The 20,856-nt window shown below is 40.3% G+C and overlaps 1 protein-coding gene across 23 annotated transcripts in view; it reads right to left on the bottom strand.

The window, feature by feature from the left end:
- Positions 1-20,856, bottom strand: part of PATJ (PATJ crumbs cell polarity complex component) — a 421,436-nt gene that overhangs the window by 253,996 nt on the left and 146,584 nt on the right. For all 23 annotated transcript variants that reach the window (XR_007061928.1, XM_011540462.4, XM_011540467.4 and 20 more), the window contains 3 exons: positions 10,266-10,337; positions 8,461-8,638; positions 1,438-1,548 (listed from right to left, as the gene is read on the bottom strand). Coding sequence is in view for 22 of the 23 variants with exons in the window: in XM_011540462.4 (XP_011538764.1) it covers positions 1,438-1,548; positions 8,461-8,638; positions 10,266-10,337 (361 nt within the window). In the remaining variant the exon portion in view is untranslated. The remainder of the gene's footprint in view (positions 1-1,437; positions 1,549-8,460; positions 8,639-10,265; positions 10,338-20,856) is intronic.

Below are 20,856 nucleotides of genomic sequence, written 5' to 3'. Positions count from 1 at the left end.
GTGACACAGCAGAGGTGCCAATGCAGGCTGCAGCTCACTGTGCATAGGCAGATTACAAGCATGCAAAATATTCCATCAATGCCCCCACCACTGGGATAGCCAAACATATACCCACCCAGTTTGCCATATAAGTATTATTTTCTTTTTGCCTTGACATACAAAAATTGGAATGCACTACAAAACTATATTGGAAAGCAAATAATTTTTTAAAATATGCAGTTAGAAGTGCATATGTAAGCCTGGGGAACAAAGTGAGACCCTATCAAAAAACAAAAAAAAATTCACCAGGTGTAGTGGCATGCACCTGTAATCCCAGCTACTTGGGAGGCTAAGGCAGTAAGATTGCTTGAGCCCAGGAGATAAAGGCTGCAGTGAGCTATGATCATGCCACTGCACTCTAGGCTAAGTGACAGAATGAGACTCTATCCCCAAAAACAAACAAAAAAAGAAGTGTCTATGTTTTGAACAGCTGTCTTCCATTATAAAATGAAGAAAAAGAATATTGAATATTGCTTCCAGTTTTAAGGGTGATGTTTCTGTTGCACATTGTAGTATAAAATCCACATCCTGCCACTGACATTTCATATCAGAGTTCCAATTCCATACCAAAGGAGTAATTAATTACAGAAGAAAAATTGTAGGTCAGGCGCAGTGGCTCACACCTGTAATAACAGCACTTTGGGAGGCCAAGGTGCGCAGATCACTTGAGGTCAGGAGTTTGAGACCAGCCTAGCCAACAAGGTGAAACCTCGTCTCTACTAAAAATACAAAAATTAGTGGAGCATGGTGGCACATGCTTGTAATCCCAGCTACTCGGGAGGCTGAGGCACAGGAATCACTTGAACCTGGGAGGCAGAGATTGCAGTGAGCTGAGATCGTGCCACTGCACTCCAGACTGGGCAACAGAGCAAGACTCCATCTCAAAAAAAGAAGAAAAAGAAAAATTTTATGATTAAATATTGCTGTTTTTACATTTGGAATCTCCAACATTAGAACACACAACAGTACAACATGTCAACACGTTTTTATTTTTACATCCTTTAATAAATATACACAACATGTGATAGTATCTCTACAATGTTTTTACACCTGACCCTCTGTTCAAAGTATTTCATAAACAAAGTAACTGGCTCAGAAAAGTAACCTGCAAGTTAGCAAAGCTGGTAAATAAGGAATCAAGAAATTGAAAACAGGTCTGTTTGATTCCAGAAGCAGTAACTTAAACCAATGCACACTGTAATGACTCCAATTTGACCAGAAGATCAAAACTGGAGGGGAAAAAAGGGAACCTTATGACTAAATTTTTATGAAGCTCATACTTTAAATATAGTTTGGGAACTACAATGAAAATATGTGGAAAATACTTAGAGGCCAAAGCTTGGTCTGCAGGTATACAGAGTGTTGTTAAACTTTTTGAAAATATGAACTAAAACTTACTCGTGGAGTGGATGACAAACTCTGAACAATGAACACCACAGGGTTTCCTGCATTCTTAATGGCCTCAACTGCTTCGCTGTGTGAGGCATTCTGCAAATCTACTCCAGACACCTGAAACACAGAAGCAAGTTATTTCAATTAGAACAGCACTAGATATTGTGGACAGGTTAATTCAAAGTTCATGTGCATTATCTAGTTATAAGAACAACCAGAGTCTAATGAGTAGACGGTCAGAAAAAAATAAGATTGGCCCATAAAAAGCTTGGCAATTTTAGAAGAACATGTTCAAGGAAAGTAACATTTCACCTTCAGAAAAGTAGATAAGAAAAATACATTAATAAAAACATCCCTGGTTAAATATAATTATCCAAAACAGGTAGCTCAGTCAGTAACAGAACCTTAAGATGTCTGTCACCTCTGCCAGGAGCACAGTACATAATTCTGAGTGGGATAAGGGAGGCTGGGAATATCTATGGACTTTTATCATCTCTCCATTAAGCTCAGAGGCATAATATTTTAAGTAAATTGCTTGTTATCACAATTGAGTAGTTGAACATTTCTCAAATTATGTTTAAAAAGAAGTACCAAAAAGCATCCACAAGTTCTTTTACTAAAACTATTTATGTGTTCAATAAATTTGAGTAAGTGTAAACAGTTCCTTATTATAGAAAATTTCAGAGAACATAACTTGCTAACATGCCCATAAATCTCCAAGAGCACACTCTGTATTTCCAAAACATGTTTAACAGAACTAATTTTTCAAACCTATAATGTAACAAAGCCTTGGTAAATGCTGGGATGTTCTGTGGTCTCAACGGATAGTGATAATTTGTGAAGACTGCTTTGCTATTAGAGGACCGAGGAAACAGGAATGTGGGTGGAAAGGGATGTAGGATGTTTTTAAGATAGAAGGAAATATTACAGCAATAATGATACAGTGCAGAGAAAAAAATGGATGATAAAGGAGAGACATGACAACTGTAAGGTCAATATCCTTGGACGGTCAAGAGGAAATGATTCCTACTGCACAAGTTAGAGAGACTGGCTTTGGATAGAAGCACAAATGTAGTTCCTTTGCTGTTACAGAGGCAATTAGAAAAAAGATTTGGTGAGCACTGGAAGCAGGGGAAGTTCCCTTTAACTGCCTCTATTTTCTCAACGAAACCTGAAACTAGGACCTTAAACTGAGAGCAAGACTAAGGAAAGAGGCATAAGGGGTTTGGCACAGTTACCTGTTGTATTACTTTGTTCTCACGCTGCTATAAAGAACTGCCTAAGACTAGGTAATTTATAAAGGAAAGAGGTTTAATTATCTCATGGTTCTGTATGGCTGGGGCGGCCTCAGGAAACTTACAATCATAGGGGAAGGGGAAGCAAACACGTGGCAGGAAGGAGAAGTGCCGAGAAAAGGGGGAAAAGTTCCTTATAAAATCATCAGATCTTGTGAGAACTCACTCACTATCACAAGAACAGCAGAATGGGGCTAACCACCCCCATGATTCAATTACCTCCCACTGGGTCCCTCCCATGACATATGGGGATTTTGGGAACTACAATTAAAGATGAGATTTGGGTAAGGACACAGCCAAATCATATCACTTATAAAAACTGGAGACTGAACCAGCTAGGAGAATAATACAGGACAGCAAGGCAAAACTAAAGAACCGCTTGAGTGGCTGCTCATGAGCTTCTAATGAGACCAGATACCATGGCTGGTTATTTCTCCAGCCATGCTAGAGACCTGGAATAAGCAGAGCTGCACTTAACTAGGGTGTGATTCTCCCAGACAAGTTCAGTGAAAGGAAAGAGGATCAACAGTAGGAAGCACATGCAAGGAAGGGGTTGGAGCCACCAACCACTGAACTTGAGCAGGCTGAGGAGAAAGTGGGCACATGAGAAGCTGAGGACATAGATGTGTGTGCCTGTGGTATAATATGAAATGTTCTTGTTCTTGTCACAGAGTACCCTTGGAATTTCCTGAGTGATAGGAGTGTCTTTTGTTATGCATTAATAGCCCCTTTCACATCTGAGTTTATGCTACTGAGGTGGCTTGGGGTAGATCCCCTGGATAGCCTCGGGATGGGGCCAGTCACCACAAAGACCAAAGGATTAGAGAATCCCTGCATTCCCCCTACAATCTCCAAGAAGTGAGGGTGGGGGCTGGAGATGAAGCTCTGTAAAAACCCTTGAACAACAAGATTTGATGAGCTTCTGGGTTGTTGAACATGTTGACATGCTGGAAGGGTAGCAGGTGGTATACCCAGAGTGTGGATGCTCTGTGCCCTCCTCTGCATACTTTGCCCTATGCATCTCTTCATCTGGCTGTCCATCTATAACCTTTGTATAACTGGTAAATGTGTTTCTCTGAGCTGCCCTAGTAAATTAACAAAATTCAAGGGGAGGGATGTGGGAACCCTGGTTTGTAGCCAGTTGGTCAGAAGTATAGGTGACAACCTACTAAGATTGGCGTCTGACCTGGGGGCAATCTTGTGGGACCAAGCCCTTAACTGTGTGATGTAATGCTAGATCCAAGTACATAGTATTGGAATTCAATTAAATTATAAGACAGTTGGTGTCCGCTGGGGATCTGATACTATCTCCAGATACATAGTATCAGAATTATAAGACATCCAGTCGGTGTCGACTGGAGAACTGCTTAGTGTATGGGGGTAAACCCCCACACATCTGGTCACATCTAGTATTCTGTTTTGAGTGTGAGAGTAAAGGGAAAAGGTTGGTAAGAATATGGAGAAACTTACACATTGCTGGTGTGAATGTAAAACGGTATAGCCAGCCACTCTGGAAAGAGTTTGACAACTCTTTTCAAAACCAAAAGTACAATTACCATAAAACCCAGTAATTGCACCCTTGGGTGTTTATCCTACAGAAATGTAGACTTATTTTCACTCAGGAATTTGTACATAAATATTTAGAGCAGATTTATTTGTAATAGTCAATAATTAAAAACTACCCAAGTGTCTTTCAATGGGTGAATGATTAAACAAATTGGTACATCCATATTATGAAATGCCACTGCTATGGTTGGAATTTATGTGTCCTTCACAATTCATATCTTGAAATCCTAACTTCTAAGGTGAAGGTATTAGGAGGTAGGTAGGGCCTTTACAAAGTGATTAGGTCATGAGGGCTCTGCCCTCAAGAATAGGATTAGTGGCCTTATAAAAGAGACCCAAGATAGCTAGCTCATCCCTTCCACTATGTGAGGACACAGAGAGAAGGCACCATCTCTGACACCCCAGAAAACAGGTCCACACCAGACACTGAAATCTGCCAATGCCTTGATCTTGGAGTTCCCAGCCTTCAGAACTATAATGGAATTTCTATGTTTATGGTATTTTGTTTTGGCAGCCTGAATTTCCAAAGACACCTGACTCAACAAAAAGGAAGAAAGTGGTAGTTTCTTTGTAGATAGAGGGTCTCACTATGTTGCCCAAGCAAGTCTTGAACTCTTGGACTCAATCCATTCCTGCCTCCGCCTCCCAAAGTGCTGGGATTACAGGTGTGAGCCACCTCACCCAGCCATGGGAATGAACTATTAATGTGCACAACAAATTGAATGAACCTCAAGGAGATTATGCTAAGTAAAAAAAGGCAATCTCAAAAAATACATAATGCATAATTGCATTTATAAGACAATTGTGAAATAACATATTTATAGACATCAAGAAACAGAAAACTGGTTGTCAGAAGTTAGGGATGGGAGAGAAAGGGAAGAGGCAACCAAAAGTGAAGAAGGTGCCTGCTTCTCCTTCCACCATGATTATAAGTTTCCTGAAGCCTCCCCAGCAATGTGGAACTGTGAGTCAATTAAACCTCTTTGTTTTATAAATTATACACTCTCAGGTATTTCTTCATAGCAGTTGAGAATGGACTAATACAGAAGGGTAATGCAAGGGAGTTTGGTGGTGATGACACAGCTGAGTTTCTCAATTGTGGTGGTGCATATGCAAGGTTTTACATGTGATAAAACTGTATAGAGCTACAAACACACACACAAATCAATGCATGAATAACTGGTGAAATCTGAATAAACTACGGATTGAGCCAATGTCAATTTCTTGGTGTTGCTATTATAGTATAGTTGTATAAGATATTAAAATTGGAGGTGACCGAGTGAAAGGTACATGGGACTTCCCTGTACACTTCTTTGTAATTTCCTATAAATTTATGATGATTTCAGAATACATTAAGAAAAAATATAATACGAAACATTAAAAAATTAAGTTACAATAGATCAGCAATCAAAGTAAAAAGTGAATTCGTCTCACTTATTTTCTAGATGATTAGATTCAAAAAACAAAATTTAGTTGGATGTTGCTTACAAAAAATACAACTAAAACTAAATGAAAAGAATGGTGGAAAAGAAGGAATGAAAAAAGCAAAGTACTGTCCGGGCGCAATGGCTCATGCCTATAATCCCAGCACTTTGGGAGGCTGAGGTGGGCGGATCACCTGAGGTTAGGAGTTCGAGATCAGCCTGACCAACATGGCAAAACCCTGTCTCCACCAAAAAATTCAAAAATTAGCCGGGCGTGGTGGTGGGTGCCTGTAATCCTAGCTACTTGGGAGGCTGAGGCAGGAGAATTGCTTGAACCTGGGAGGTGGAGGTTGCAGTGAGCTGAGATTGCGCCACTGCACTCCAGCCTGGGTGACAGAGAGAGACTCCATCTCAAAAAAAAAAAAAAAGCAAAGTACCATGTAAATTAATAACTAAAATAAAACAAGGTTACCAATATTAATAAAATAGAATTTAAGGCAAAAAGTAACTAATAGGAATACAGAAGAAAACCACATAATGTCAAAAGCAAATCACCAACAACAAATCCACTAAATATGTACAGCAAAACCAACAGAATTACAAAGAATAGCAAACAAATCCATAATCACAGTGGGGGACAAACTCTAACTGAAACTGAGGAAAAAGACCAAAAAAATTAGTAAGAATATGGGACTCCTTATTTGTTTATCTAACTGACTATTATTATATGGATGTCAAATAGGCATCTTAGCCTAACATGTCTAAAACATGTCTCCCCAAATCTGTTCCTCCCACAGTCTTGCCCATCTCAGCAAACAGAAATTCCATCTTCGATTCCTCAAGCTGAAAAGCTTTTGAATTATCTTTGCCACTTTATTCTTTTGCATCCATTCTGTTAGTAAGTCCTATTATTCACCTGCAAAATATACCACAACCTGACTGCTCTCCTCCTGGTCCAGGCCGCCATTCTTTCTCTCCTAAGTTACTGCAACAGCCTTCTGGCTGAGGCCCCTGCTTCCATCCCTGCCCCTGAAGCCAGAATACTCCTTTGAAACAATACTTACCTGTTCATAATTCTCCAGTGACTCTCCGCTGCGTTCAGAGCAGAAGACCTTCCAGAGCTTTCAGGATCTACGTGATGTGGCTTCCCATCACTCCTCAGCCCTTTTCTCTTACCCCTTCTGGCTTGTTCATGCTATGCTATCATTGCTGGACTCACTGCTGCTCCTTGAACACATCCAGGCAAGCTCCTACCTCGGAGCTTTTGCATGTTTTTCTTCCTCCATATATCTATATGGCTCACTCTCTCATTTCCTATATTTGTCCCAATATCATCTTCCATAACAAAGTTATTAAAATTGCAACTATTGCTTTCACCATCCCCAACCCCAACGCTCCTTATCCTCCTCCCCTGCTTTATTTTGTTCCCTAGCTACTTATTGCAATCTGACATTCTACATATACTTATTTTATTGTCTATTCCCCCATTCCCACTATCATGTAAACACCATAAGGGAAGGGACTGTTGGTCATTTTCTTCATTGCCATAAGTAGTATATTTGAAAATTGTTTTAAATATTGCACAGCACAAATATAACTCAACATTTGTATATACAGACAAGCTTTTATGTAGTTCCTTAATTTAATCCTCACAATAATGCTATCGATTTTGAATTCTCATTTCCATTTTATCTGAAAACGGAAAATAAGTAGGTCTAATGACTTGTCCAAAAACACATAGAAAATAAAAAGGACAGACTCCGACTCCAACCCATGACATCCAGGGCTCTTTGTATTCTATCACAGCTGAAACACCATGATTAACAGTTAGCATCATAAAGAATGAATCAAGAACAAGCAGATTATGGGATTACAGATACCCACCATGGTGTCACCCAATTAACCCAATGCAAAGAAATGTATCACATTCAGACCTCAGGGCATTCTCAGTGGTTTAATATGCCTTTTTTTTTTTTTCCTGCTTTGAGACAAGAGTGTCGTTCTGTCACCCAGGCTGGAGGGAAGTCCGATCTTGGCTCACTGAGACCCCCACCTCCAGGGTTCCAGCGATTCTCCTGTCTCAGCCTCCTGAGTAGCTAGGAATACAGGCACGTGCCACTACGCCCGGCTGATTTTTGCATTTTTAGTAGATGGGGTTTCACCATATTGGCCAAGCTACTCTCAAACTCCTGACCTCAAGTGATCTGCCTGCTTCGGCCTCCCAAAGTGCTGGTATTACAGGCATGAGCCACCGTGCTCGGCCTGATGTGCCTTTAAAACTTAGCGCCCACAGAGCGTATCCGGTGCGAATCATGGATCCTCCCCTCACCCAATAGAGTCTTCAACCTTCCAGGGTCAACTTCTTTCTCTAAACAAGCATAATATCCTCCTGACACATAATTATAAAATTTAGGGCTTCAGGAAAAAAATTTAGAGCTTGTTAAAGAATGTGGGAGAAGCATAATGCCTACCATCTGCCCTGTTCTATATAGAGCCCTTTGTTAGTTAAAGTGTTTTTTTGCAATCAGCTGAAGTTTTTATCATTTTATTTGTTTACCCCTGCCCACACTCACTTGAGAAACTCATAAATTGTGCATACAATGTACAAACTAAGGCATATAAATAGAGCACACCAACTGTACACACACGGTCCCCAACACATAAAGAAAGGTCTTCTAGCTAAATGATTATTTCACTGTCTTACCGTATGTTTCCAATAAAAACAGTACTTTAACATCATTTACCTCAAGTATTTTATCTCCAGTTTTAAGTGCGTTCGTCTTCCCTGCTGGACTGTCTTCTAAAACTTGTTTGATGAATATACCTTTAAGCTCCTCTCCATTCTTTAGACGTTTTATAACAGTTTGTCCACCAACAATACTGATCCCAAGAGACACATTGGGTTCTCTAAAAATCTCAACACTATATAAAGGAAAAAAACAAAACTCACTCATCAACAAGTTTAATCTGTTGGACTGTAAGTATTCCATTTGCATCATATCCTTGTGACTCATATTTTATATAAATTTTTGAAATATATTTTTACAAATGTTATACAAATTATACCTAGTTCCAACATTATGTTATCAATAATTCATAACAAATGAAAGTTTTAGTTCTGAAAAGCATAGATTTCTAGAACAATAAATATAACTCTAAATATTCAGTGAAGATTTAGTTAAGCCCAAATATTCCCATCTCCTATTATAATATATTTTCTGTCATTAGTCCTTTTCATTTGTATCCATAACATTAGCAAAGAATGGACTGAAGAAATAACAAATGGGCAAGACAAAAATCAAGAAAGCCACATATGGCTTGGCGCGGTGGCTCACGCCTGTAATCCCAGCACTTTGGGAGGCCGAGGCGGGCAGATCACGAGGTCAGGAGATCGAGACCATCCTGGCTAACATGGTGAAACCCCGTCTCTACTAAAAATACAAAAAATTAGCCGGGCGTAGTGGCGGGCGCCTGTAGTCCCAGCTACTCCGGAGGCTGAGGCAGGAGAATGGCGTGAACCCGGGAGGCAGAGCTTGCAGTGAGCCGAGATTGCGCCACTGCACTCCAGCCCGGGCGACAGAGCCAGACTCCGTCTCAAAAAAAAAGAAAAGAAAAGAAAAGAAAGCCACATATGTCATTTCGGCAAAAAGTACAGACTTTCAGAACAAAATAAATTAGCCACTGAGTGGCTCGTTGTCCAAGTTGCTTTTCCCAGTCAGCAGGTTTAACTCTGTGGTTCTTTAATCAGAGGGCAGATTTTACCTGCTCCTAAGGCCAGAAGGTTTTGTTTTCTTCCTACCTCCGTGTCATTATTTAAAAGAAAGTATGAACTGAAAACTGCCTCCCTCAAAATATTATAGGTTTTGCACTGCAGCCAATAATTAACTCATTAAAAAAAGTAACTCTGAAAACAACTCTTAAATGTTTTAAGACAAATTCAGATTTCAATTACAAGCAAAGAACCAGTTTGGGTGGAGATATCCATTAATAATGGACACGGAATACAGAGAGCAGCTAAAGGAAGACTTTCATCATCTTAAAGTGCAGCCCTGGTGAGGACTTAAAACTACAGCGACTGGTGAGTACTTAAAACTTCCCCCAGATCCAAGGGAAGATGGGTTTTCAACACATTCTGTTAGCACAAACGTGGACTCTCCACCAGGGGAGGAAGGTAGAGATAAACTGATATATACTAGAAACTTCAACTACTGTTACTGTTGTTTACCAGAAAAGAAAGCTTTACTGCATTCAAGGCAGCTTTACCTGACTTGCTTAATGACATAGTGATAAACTATACTTGTTAGATGGACATCTAAGTTGCTTTCTCTGAAAGAGTATCAAAGATGTTCCTAATATTAGTTACAGTCATTTTGTTCAGCTAAAAATCTCTAGATAAGACAAAATGAAACCAAAACGTAGGCCAGCTTACAGGTGAATTATCGCAATTCTCAATCATTAGAGTAGGACTAAATAATGTTCTGTTAAGTTAAAGAAAAGAGCAACTGGTTGTGCTCCTATTGAGAAAGCCACAATAATGTCATCCACATACATTCTCGGTGGACCCCAGTGGCTAAAATTTGGAGTTTCTTCTCCTTCGCCTTCTTCTCTCTCAGGTAACTCACTACAGAGGGAGAAAGAAAAAAATACACACAATTTTAGGGCATACTCATTATTAAAGGTCCTTGGAAGGTTTTGAAATTGTAAAATCTATAGGTAGTTAAATGATTCTCAATTTTTAAGTTTTTAAAATATTTACATCAATAAATATGCAAAGCAAAAATATATTGCTTTAACATTCAACTCAACAAATCCCCACCCAGCATTAGAAAATCACAGAATTATTATAAACACTTTTATTAGTGATATTCTAGACACTAAAAGTTTGCGTTTGATTTGTGCAATTTCAAATTTGTTTCTGTATCAATATGTAAAATGTTATAAAATGTATTCCTTAAAACTTGGTATTGTTTGACCAGCTAAGACACAGAAATCAACATGTATCATAGATATCAAGTATAAATCAACATGAACAGGTCAATATGATCCCTCTTTCTAGCCCTAAGTATTTCCCCGTCATTTGTATCCCATGAATATTTTGCGTACTTATATGGAACTTTTCAGTTACTTATATTATCTAATATGATCCTCACTGCTTCCCACCTACCACCAACATATTTTCATCCAGCAAGTTAAGTTAGTATAGTACTACTGAACTGAACATGGTGAAACCCTGTCTCTACAAAAAAAAAATCAGCTGTGCATGGTGGCACATGCCTGTAGTCCCAGCTACTTGAGAGGCTGAGGCTGGAAGATTGCTTGATCCTGGAAGGTCAAGAGTGCAATGAGTCATGTTTGTGCCACTGCACTTCATACTAGGTGACAAAGCAAGACCCTGTCTCAGAATAAAAAAAGAACTGCTGAACTGGATAACGTAAAATGCTGAGTTACGGAGTATTTGGTTATCAGATTAATGCAATAGTGAATAGACAGTGCCGTGTATTATCTGGAAGAGAAATCAGGAGTCCTAAGCTCAAGTCTAACTGATACCATGAAATAGGTGTGTGGCTTTGGACCGCTAAATGAAATCAGTCCGATGTTGTAAATTGTATTACTCTATACAAAAATCTAGGCACTACCTCTTCCACTTCATTTTCATAAAAACCCTTGGCCAGGTGTGGTGGCTCATGGCTGTAATCCCAGTGCTTCGGGAGGTCAAGGCAGGAAGATCACTTGAGCCCAAGAGGTCAAGACCAACCTGGACAACATGGTGAGACCCCATCTCTAAAAAAAAAAAAAAATTAGCTGGGCATGGTGGTACACCTGTAATCACAGCTACTGGGGAGGCTGGAGCAGGAGGATCATTTGAGACCAGGAGTTCAAGGCTGTAGTGAGCTATGATCACACCACTATTCTCCAGCCTGGGCAACAGAGCAAGATCCTGTCTCAAAAACAAAAATCCCTCTAACCTATAAAGTAAGCACAGCAGATCATATTATATTTTACACAGGAGGAACTGAAGCTCAGAGAAGGCTTAAGCATACAACCTCACAACCTTTCCTCATGTATCCAAATCTGTTTTAGCCCTAAGTTTCAATACTCCCATTTTTCTCTGAACTTAAGTAAGTCTTATAAAATGCAGCAAAACTCCACCTTCTTGGCCCTCTACAGACTTAGTATCTAGGATAAAACTGTTGTAAGGCCATGTGAAAAGGAGAAGGCTGAAAGGATCTAGACAAGCCAAATATCAGTTAAGAAATTAGGATCATTACATCTCACCCACTACCAGATGTCTTTCTTACCTTAGCTAGTCTAATTTTTATTATTGAAAGTATCACAGCATTAGGGGAAAACAACTTGGCAGACCCTTGCTGGTTACTTTCTAACGTCTTTTTCTCCCCTTCTTCCATAAATACATAACCCCTCTTTTATTCTAGGTGGCACTATGCCCAGCTTTGAAAAAAATACATTTTCTAGACTTTCTTTCAGCTAATGGGAACTGTGTGCCACAGTGCTGATCAGTGATATGGAACCAAAAGTCCCTAGATGAGACTTCCAGGAAAACTCATTAAAAGGAAGGAGAATCAGCTGGCAGGAGCCTTTTGCTCTATGCCCTCCCCTTCTTCTTGCCTAGAATTCACAGGTGAAATTGGTGGCAAAACATTCATCTTCAAATCATACAGAAACAACGAGGAGTAAGGCCATACATTAATGGCAGCAGAGCAGAAAGGACGAAGGTATTTAAGACCCTGATGACAACAGCACCACACCATCCTAAGACCACCTTCTTCAGGACTTTTCACATGAAAAAAACTTGCCTTTATTTGGTTAAGCCACACTAAATGGGGTTTCTGTTTATGAGTATGTAACTGTAATCCCTCAATGATACACCCACAATTCCACCAATTCAAGTAAACTGTTTTCACTTTAACCTATCACTTGCTTGTTCTTTGCAACTATATTAGCATTATATAACTGTAATTATAGCACAAACTGTCCTATTTTGATGGTCCTATGTAATAATAACAAGGACTAAATTAGATATTAACTGAGGCTCAACCAATATTCATTTCCTCTATAATTTTTTTCACTTGAACTTATAACAAAAATCTACCCACATAGTATCATTACCTTCATCGTTTTTTATTTACTAGTACCTTAATAGGCCATCGTATTGATGTAATTTATCTGCTATCTCAATATATTATGCACTTAGATTGTATATTAGTCCATTTTCACACTGTTATAAAGATACTACCTGAGACTGGGTAATTTAAAAAGAAATGAGGTTTAATTGATTAACAGCTTCACATGGCTGGGGAAGCTTCAGGAAACTTACAAACATGGCAGAAGGTAAGGGGAAGGAAGGTGTATGTGGCAGCAGGAGAGAGTGCACAGGGGAAACTGCCACTTTTAAATCATCAGATCTCGTGAGAACTCCCTCACTCTCATGAGAACAACATGTGAAAACTTCCCCCATGATCCAATCACCTCTCATCAGGTCCCTCACCTGACACATGGGAAATACAATTTGAGATGAAATTTGGGTGGGTACATGGAGCCAAACCATATCATTCCACCCTGGCTCCTTCCAACTCTCATGTACTTTTCACATTTTATAAGCAATCATGCCATCCCAACAGTCTCCCAAAGTCTTAACTCATTTTAGCATTAACCCAAAAGTCCAAGTCCAAAGTCTCATCTCAGACAAGGCAAGTCCTTTCCACCTAGAAGCCTGTAAAATCAAAAACAAGTTAGTTATTCCCAAGATACAATGGGGGTACAGGCATTGGGTAAATGTTTTCATTCCTAATGTTCTCCAAATGGGAGAAACTGGCCAAAACAAAGGAGCCACAGGCCCCATGTAAGTCCAAAACCTAGTGGGGTAGTCATTAAATTTTTTTTTTTTTTGAGATGGAGTCTCCCTCTGTCGCCCAGGATGGAGTGCAGTGGTGCAATCTTGGGTCATTGCAACCTCCACCTCCCAGTTCAAGTGATTCTCCTGACTTGGCCTCCCACGTAGCTGGGATTTCAAGTGCACACCACCACACCTGGCTAATTTTTGTATTTTTAGTAGAGACAGGGTTTCACCATGATGGTCAGGCTGGTCTCAAACTTCTGCCCTCAGGTGATTTGCCTGCCTCAGCCTCCCAAAGTGCTGGGATTATAGGCGTCAGCAACCGCCTGGCCATAATCATTAAATCTTAAAGCTCCAAAATGATCTCCCTTGACTCCATGTCTCACATCCAAGAAATGCTGATTCAAGGGGTGGACTCCCAAGGCCTTGGGCAGCTCTGTCCCTGTGGCTCTGCAAGGTACAGCCCCCATGGCTGCTTTCACAAGCTGGAGGTGAGTGCCTACAGCTTTTCCAGCTGCATATGCAAGCTGCCAGTGGAGATACCATTCTGGGGTCTGGAAGATCGTGGCCCTCTTCTCATAGCTCCACAAGGCAGTGCCCCCATGGGGACTCCATTTAGGGGCTTCAATCCTGCATTTTTCCTCTACATTGCCCTGGTAGAGATTCTCCATGAGGGCTCTGCCCGAGTTGACTTCTGCCTGGACATCCAGACATTTTCATACATCCTCTGAAATCTAGGCAGAGGCTCCCAAAGCTCAACTCTTGTCTTCTGTGCACTCTCAGGCCCAACACCACATGGATGCCACCAAGGCTTGGGGCTTGCACCCTCTGAAGCAACAGCCTGAGCTGTACCTTGGCGCCTTTTAGCCACAGCTGGAGCTGGAACACCTGGAATGCAGGGTACAAAGTCCCAAGGCTGCAGAGAGTAGCAGGGCCTTGGGCCTGGCCCACAAAACCATTTTTCACTCCTAGGCCTCTGGGACTGTGATGGGAGGAGCTGCCACAAAGATTTCTGACATGCCCTGGAGATATTTTCCCCGTCTTGGCTATTAACATTCAGTTCCTTGTTACTTATGCAAATTTCTGCAGCCAGATTGAATTCCTCCCCAGAAAATGGGTTTTTCTTTTCTACCACATGGTCAGGCTGCAAATTTTCTACACCTTTATGCTCTGCTTCCCTTTTAAATATAAGTTCCAATTTCAAACCATCTCTTTGTGAACACAAGCCAGGTCACCTCTTCAATGCTTTGCTGCTTAGAAATTTCTTCTGCCAGATACCCTAAATCATCTCTCTCAAGTTCAAAGTTCCACAGATCTCTAAGGCAGGGGCAAAATGCTGCCAGTCTTTTTGCTAAAGCATAGCAAGAGTGACCTTTGCTCCACTTCCCAATAAATTCCTCATCTCCATCTGAGACCAACTCAGCCTGGACTTCATTGTCCATATCACTATCAGCATTTGGTCAAAAGTATTCAACAAGTCTCTAGGAAGTTCCAAACTTTCCCACATCTTCCTGTCAGCTTCTGAGCCCTCCAAATCATTCCAACCTCTGCCTGTTAGCCAGTTCCAAAGTCGCTTCTACATTTTCAGGTTATCTTTATAGCAGTACTCCACTCTGCTGGGACCAATTCTATTAGTCCACTGTCACACTCTATAAAGATACTACCTGAGACTGGGTAATTTATAAAGAAAAGAGGTTTAATTTACTCAAAGTTCCACATGGCTGGGGAGGTCTCAGGAAACTTAAAATCATGGTGGAAGGCAAAGGGGAAGCAAGGCACATCTTACATGTTGGCAGGAAAGAGACAGTGTAGGGGAAACTGCCACTTTTACATCATCAGATCTTGTGAGAACTCCCTCACTATCATGAGAACAGCATGGGGAAACCGCCCCCACGATCCAATCACCTCCCATGAGGTCCCTCTCCTGACACATGGGGATTACAATTTGAGATGAGATTTGGGTAGAGACACAGAGCCAACCCATATCAGATTGTACCTTGTCTTTTATAATATGGACATTACTGCAAGGAATATCTTCATGCTCTGCTGTATTTTAGAATTCTCTGTTTTTTTTTTGTGTTTTTTTTTTTTTATGAGATAGAGTTTCGCTCTTGTTGCCCAGGCTGGAGTGCAATGGCACAATCTTCGCTCACTGCAACCTCCACCTCCCAGGTTCAAGCCATTCTCCTGCCTCAGCCTCCCGAGTAGCTGGGATTACAGGCATGCACCACCAAGCCCGGCTAATTTTGTATTTTTAGTAGAGATGGGGTTTCTCCATGTTGGCCAGGCTGGTCTTGAACTCTTGACCTCAGGTGATCTGCCCGCCTCAGCCTCCCGAAGTGCTAGGATAACAGGCATGAGCCACATGCCCGGCCTTCTGTTAAATATTAATTGAAATAAGATTCAAAACAAAACCTAAAACAATACAAACCTTCCTCCTCTCCATTTTCCACCTTCCTGTACCCCAAATCATATAGGCATTAAGGAAAAAAAAAAAGGCAGGTATTTCACCATGACACCTTTATGCTATCATTATAGGCATTCACTTCTTTTTTTTTTTCTCTTGTTTTGTTGTTTTGCTTTTTGAGCAGAGTTCCACTCTGTTACCCAGGCTGGAGTGCAGTGGCACAATCACAGCTCACTGCAGCCTCACCAGGTAGCTGGGACCACAGGCATGCACTACCATGCCCGGCTAATTTTTTTTACCTTTTGTAGATACGGGGTCTCATTATGTTGCCCAGACTGCTTTCAAACACCTGGACTCAAGCAATCCTCCTGCCTCAGCCTCCCAAAGTGTTGGGATCATGGGCATGAGCCACCACACCTGGCCTAAATTCTTTAATTGGCGAAAAAAAAAAAAAAACACCCTAAAATAGAAGGGAAAGCAACCTTCAACAAATAGTATGGGCTATTTGTTTCTTAATTTTAAAAAGTAAAAACTAAAAATTTCCTAAATTGCCAACTCTCACATACAATTTAGGAGAAGGGGTGGGGGAAACCACTCTATCTAGAATATGAACAATTTTAGATTTCTTTGACAAAGTATGTCACAAAATGATTAGTCTGTTGGAAGAAACTCAGAGCATATTACCTTTCTTCTAGGTTTTAGTATACACACATTTTATTCAGATGAGTTCATACCTAACGAGAGATAAAACTTGTGAAAGCTTATCTAGATAGTGTGAGTAGTTTCAGAAATACAGTCACAGGAGATGAGCAATTAAACAAATTAATGTAGTCACTTTATACTGATGAACATATGTACCTTTTAACCCAAATTTAAATTTAACCGAGAAAGTGAAATATTCTTACTGTACATATTAAGATGTAAATTTGCACAAACATATTTGAAACTTTAACAAGGAATTTCTAACCTCAAATTTTATAATTTGCACTGTCACTAAGTATGATCAATAGCTCAATCAGTTAGAAACTCAAATCTTAAAATAACAGAACTTTCCAAACCTACAGAACATACAACACCAAGAGTGAAACCTAATCTAAACTATGGACTCTGGGTGAAGATGATGTGTCAGTTTATCAATATTATCAATTGTAACAAACGTGCCACCCTGGTGGGCGATATTGACAATAGGGGAGGCTATGCATGTGGGGGTAGGGGGTATCCTCGCTGTACCTTCTTCTCAATTTTGCTGTGAACCAAATACTGCTTTAAAGAAATAAAGTCTTAAAAATGAACTGAACTTTTGCCTCTTAAATTCAACCAGAGATTTATAACCAAATTTTTCCCCAAAGGAATTAACCATCCAATTGAAACAATGTGTTTTATTTCAGGCCTTTATCACAAATGCCTAAAGTTATAATTCTTTACAGATTTGGGGGGGTGGGTGGAGATAGAGTACCCCATGAGCAAACAAGTGGATATTAATGGTAAGACTTCATGATATACAAACTCTTTGCAAATAAAATGTTCATCATACAAAATCTGATGACTCCAGACAGCCAAGGTGACCTTTCCTCTTCAGTAGTACTTAATTTCACATAAAATTTCTACATACTAAGCAGTATGAAGGTCAAGTAAACTCAGCACCCAAAAATGATGGAAGCAGGGAGAGCTCCAATTGTGACTAAGTAATCTCACAATTTTTTTTCCTCCTTAAATACACATTCTATATGGCAATATTCTATGATATACCACAGGGAATGTGAGCAACTGGAACCAAAAAGAATGGGCACTAGTGTCTTCTAAACTAGTAGGGTTATTTGTACAGATGTTCTGCCATGATTTTGAAGTTGCAGAGCAAATTATTACCTGACACCAGTATATAAAGAATTAGGCATTTCCTTGCATTAACATTCAGACATTGTCTTGAGTAAAAGAAGGTAGACATAAAAAAAGTAGCTACTGTATGACTACATGTACATGTGTTCTAAAACAGGAAAAACTAATTTACAGTATTAGAAATAAGATTAGTGGTTGCCTGGTGCAAGACACACAAAGGGGCAGGAGGACTTTCTGGGTGATGGAAATGTTCCTTATCTTCATTGGAGTGTATATTACATGAATGTATACATATCTTAGTAGGCTGTACCTTAAAATGTGTGCATTTTATTAATATGTAAAATGGTGTTTAAGAGCTTCCTTAAGAAACAGAAGTTCAAGCCATACAGGGTAAGTTGCTTCCAGAACATTACGTCTCTTCTGGCCTTCTGTAGAGCCTGAATTAGTAATCAAAGATCTAATTATATTTTCAAAGGCATTAGTGTAGTATTTCTATGTACCTCTTGTCCTAATTGTTCACATTCGCCTTCATCTGCAGTGTGGGCCACCGCTGCAACAGCACTGTAAGAACCTAGAAGTGTCACGTGCTCGAGGCCACAGACTCCCACAAACACCCCCTTTTCTCTCCCAACTCACACTCCAGAGTAGCCCTCTCTCTGAAATGCAAATATTCATTCTCTCCCTTTTCTTCCATCTCCTCCTGATGTTCTGAATTTACATGTAAGTTTTGGCAGTTTAATTCAAATGTAAACCTATTAAATATCCACCATTTATGTAGAAGGCACTAAATGCCAGGCACTGTGTTGGGAGCTTAAAATATCACGTTAACTTAGTTAATCCTTTACCCAACTATGACACCTAGCCTCCTATTTCTCCTCCCACTATTCCTAACAAAGTGTCCAATACCTGAAGCCATCTCTACTCATTTGCATCCTATTACACCTATAATTTTTTTTTCCATTTTAAATATGTCTTTCTTCTAAAGTTCACCATCCTCCCAGACATCAGCCTCTGACACATTGCTTTACTGTGATTTGATCCTATTACATTTTTTTTTTTGTTAATCAACAACCTCCTTGAGTCTTTTAATAAACCCAGCAACAATGAATACTACCCTGGGTATATGTCAGGGCCCATGAGCCTATCATTGTCACTGCCACCAACATCACTGCAAACCTTCTATTAAACGTTTACTATTGGCAAGGCTGTTATATTAAGCCTGTTAAATGCATCCTTTCCCAGCTTTATTGACTTTTAGTTGACAAATAAAATTGTATAAATGTTTTACATGTACTTTAAAAAAAATAATAGGCCAGGTGCTATGGCTCACACTTGTAATCCCAGCACTTTGGGAGGCCAAGGTGGGAGGATTGCTTGAGGCCAGGAGTTTAGACCAGCCTGGGTAACATAGTGAGATCTTATCTCTACAGAAAATAAAAAAATTAGCCAGTCATGGTGGCAGGTGCCTGTGATCCCAGCTATTTGGGAGGCTGAGGTGGGAGGATTGCTTGAACCTGGGAGGTCAAGGCTGCAGTGAGCTGTGATCACATCACTGCACTCCAGATTGGGTGACAAAGCAAGAACTTGTCTCAAAGAAGAAGAAGGAAAAAAAAACCAATAAAAAATAGTGACCAGGTCTCACTGTGTTTGCCAGGCTGGAGTGCAGTGGTATAATCATAGCTTGCTATAACCTCGAACTGCTGGGCTCAAGAGATCCTCCCTCCTAGGCCCCCAGAATAGTTAGGACTACAGGCATGCACCAACATATCAGGCTTACTTTTTATTTTTTTGTAGCAGCAGGTTTTCACTATGTTGCCCAGGCTCGTCTTGAACTCCTGGCCTCAAGCGATTCTCCCACCTTGGCCACATAAAGTGCTGGGATTACAGGCGTGAGCCACCACGCCTGGCCTGTATGAATTTTTATTCAATCTACAGAACTACCTACTTTACGGGTGACAAAAGATAGATACAAAGGAAACCCTTTCAGGGTCATACAGGTATAAACAGCAGAAGAAAGATATGAACATCACTCATAATACATCCACACCACAGACCTCCTAATGTCTGAGAAATGTCCATGTCCCCCCTAGGGGCACCCATAGGTCTTTAAACAGCCAAAAATAACCGAGATGAGGAAGAAAAAGACTGAAACCAGGCGAGGTCTGAAAACACGATCTCAAGTGACCTTAGGAACAAAGAAGGATACAGTAGTCCCCTCCACTCAGCTAAGGTATTGCTTTCTGCAGTTTTGCTTTCCTTGGTATCAGTTAGCTGTGGTCAACTGCAGTAATGGCAAAAATCTTAAATGGTAAATTTCAGAAATAAACAATTCATAGGTTTTAAATTGCATGCCATTCAGAGTAGCATGAAGAAATATCTTGCTGTCCAGCCTGGGATGTGAATCATCTCTTTGCCCAGCATATCCATACGCTATATATGCTGCCTGCGCAGAAGTCACTCAGTAGCCATCTCAGTTATCAGATCAACTGCTGCAGTACTGATCTATTTGATTACCAGTTATTGTTGTTAATCTCTTACTGTACGTAATTTATAAATTAAACTTCATCATAAGTATGTACGTACAGAAAAGACAGTATATATAGGGCTTGGTACTGTCTGTGGTTTCAGGCACGCAGTGGGGTTCTTGGAACATATCCCTTGAAGATAAGAAGGGACTACTGTGCTCTGAACCAGAACACCTGAATTCCTTCCACAGAATTATACCCTGCCTGCCCACAGTCCCCTTTCTAGAGATCTCTCCTTTCAAGGGGCACCTGACCTCTTAATACCAGTCCTACCTCCTAAGGTAAGGAGAAGTTAGTGCAAAAGTGCACTGTAGATAAAACATCACAATCATTAGATACTTACCCTTGGTGCACTCACACGCACGTAGACACACAACTCTGCTGGGTCGTACACAAAAATTAATGCAAGGAAGAAACTGTAAAATACCATTTAGCACTTCATGACACCCTGATTTTCTGAAAGACTATCATCTAAAATAATCTATGCATTACTCAGGCAGGCTCCTGAGTGGCAATA

Source organism: Homo sapiens, chromosome 1, assembly GCF_000001405.40.
Source record: "Homo sapiens chromosome 1, GRCh38.p14 Primary Assembly".
Classification (NCBI taxonomy): domain Eukaryota; kingdom Metazoa; phylum Chordata; class Mammalia; order Primates; family Hominidae; genus Homo; species Homo sapiens.
This window is presented reverse-complemented; position numbering and strand designations above follow the sequence as displayed.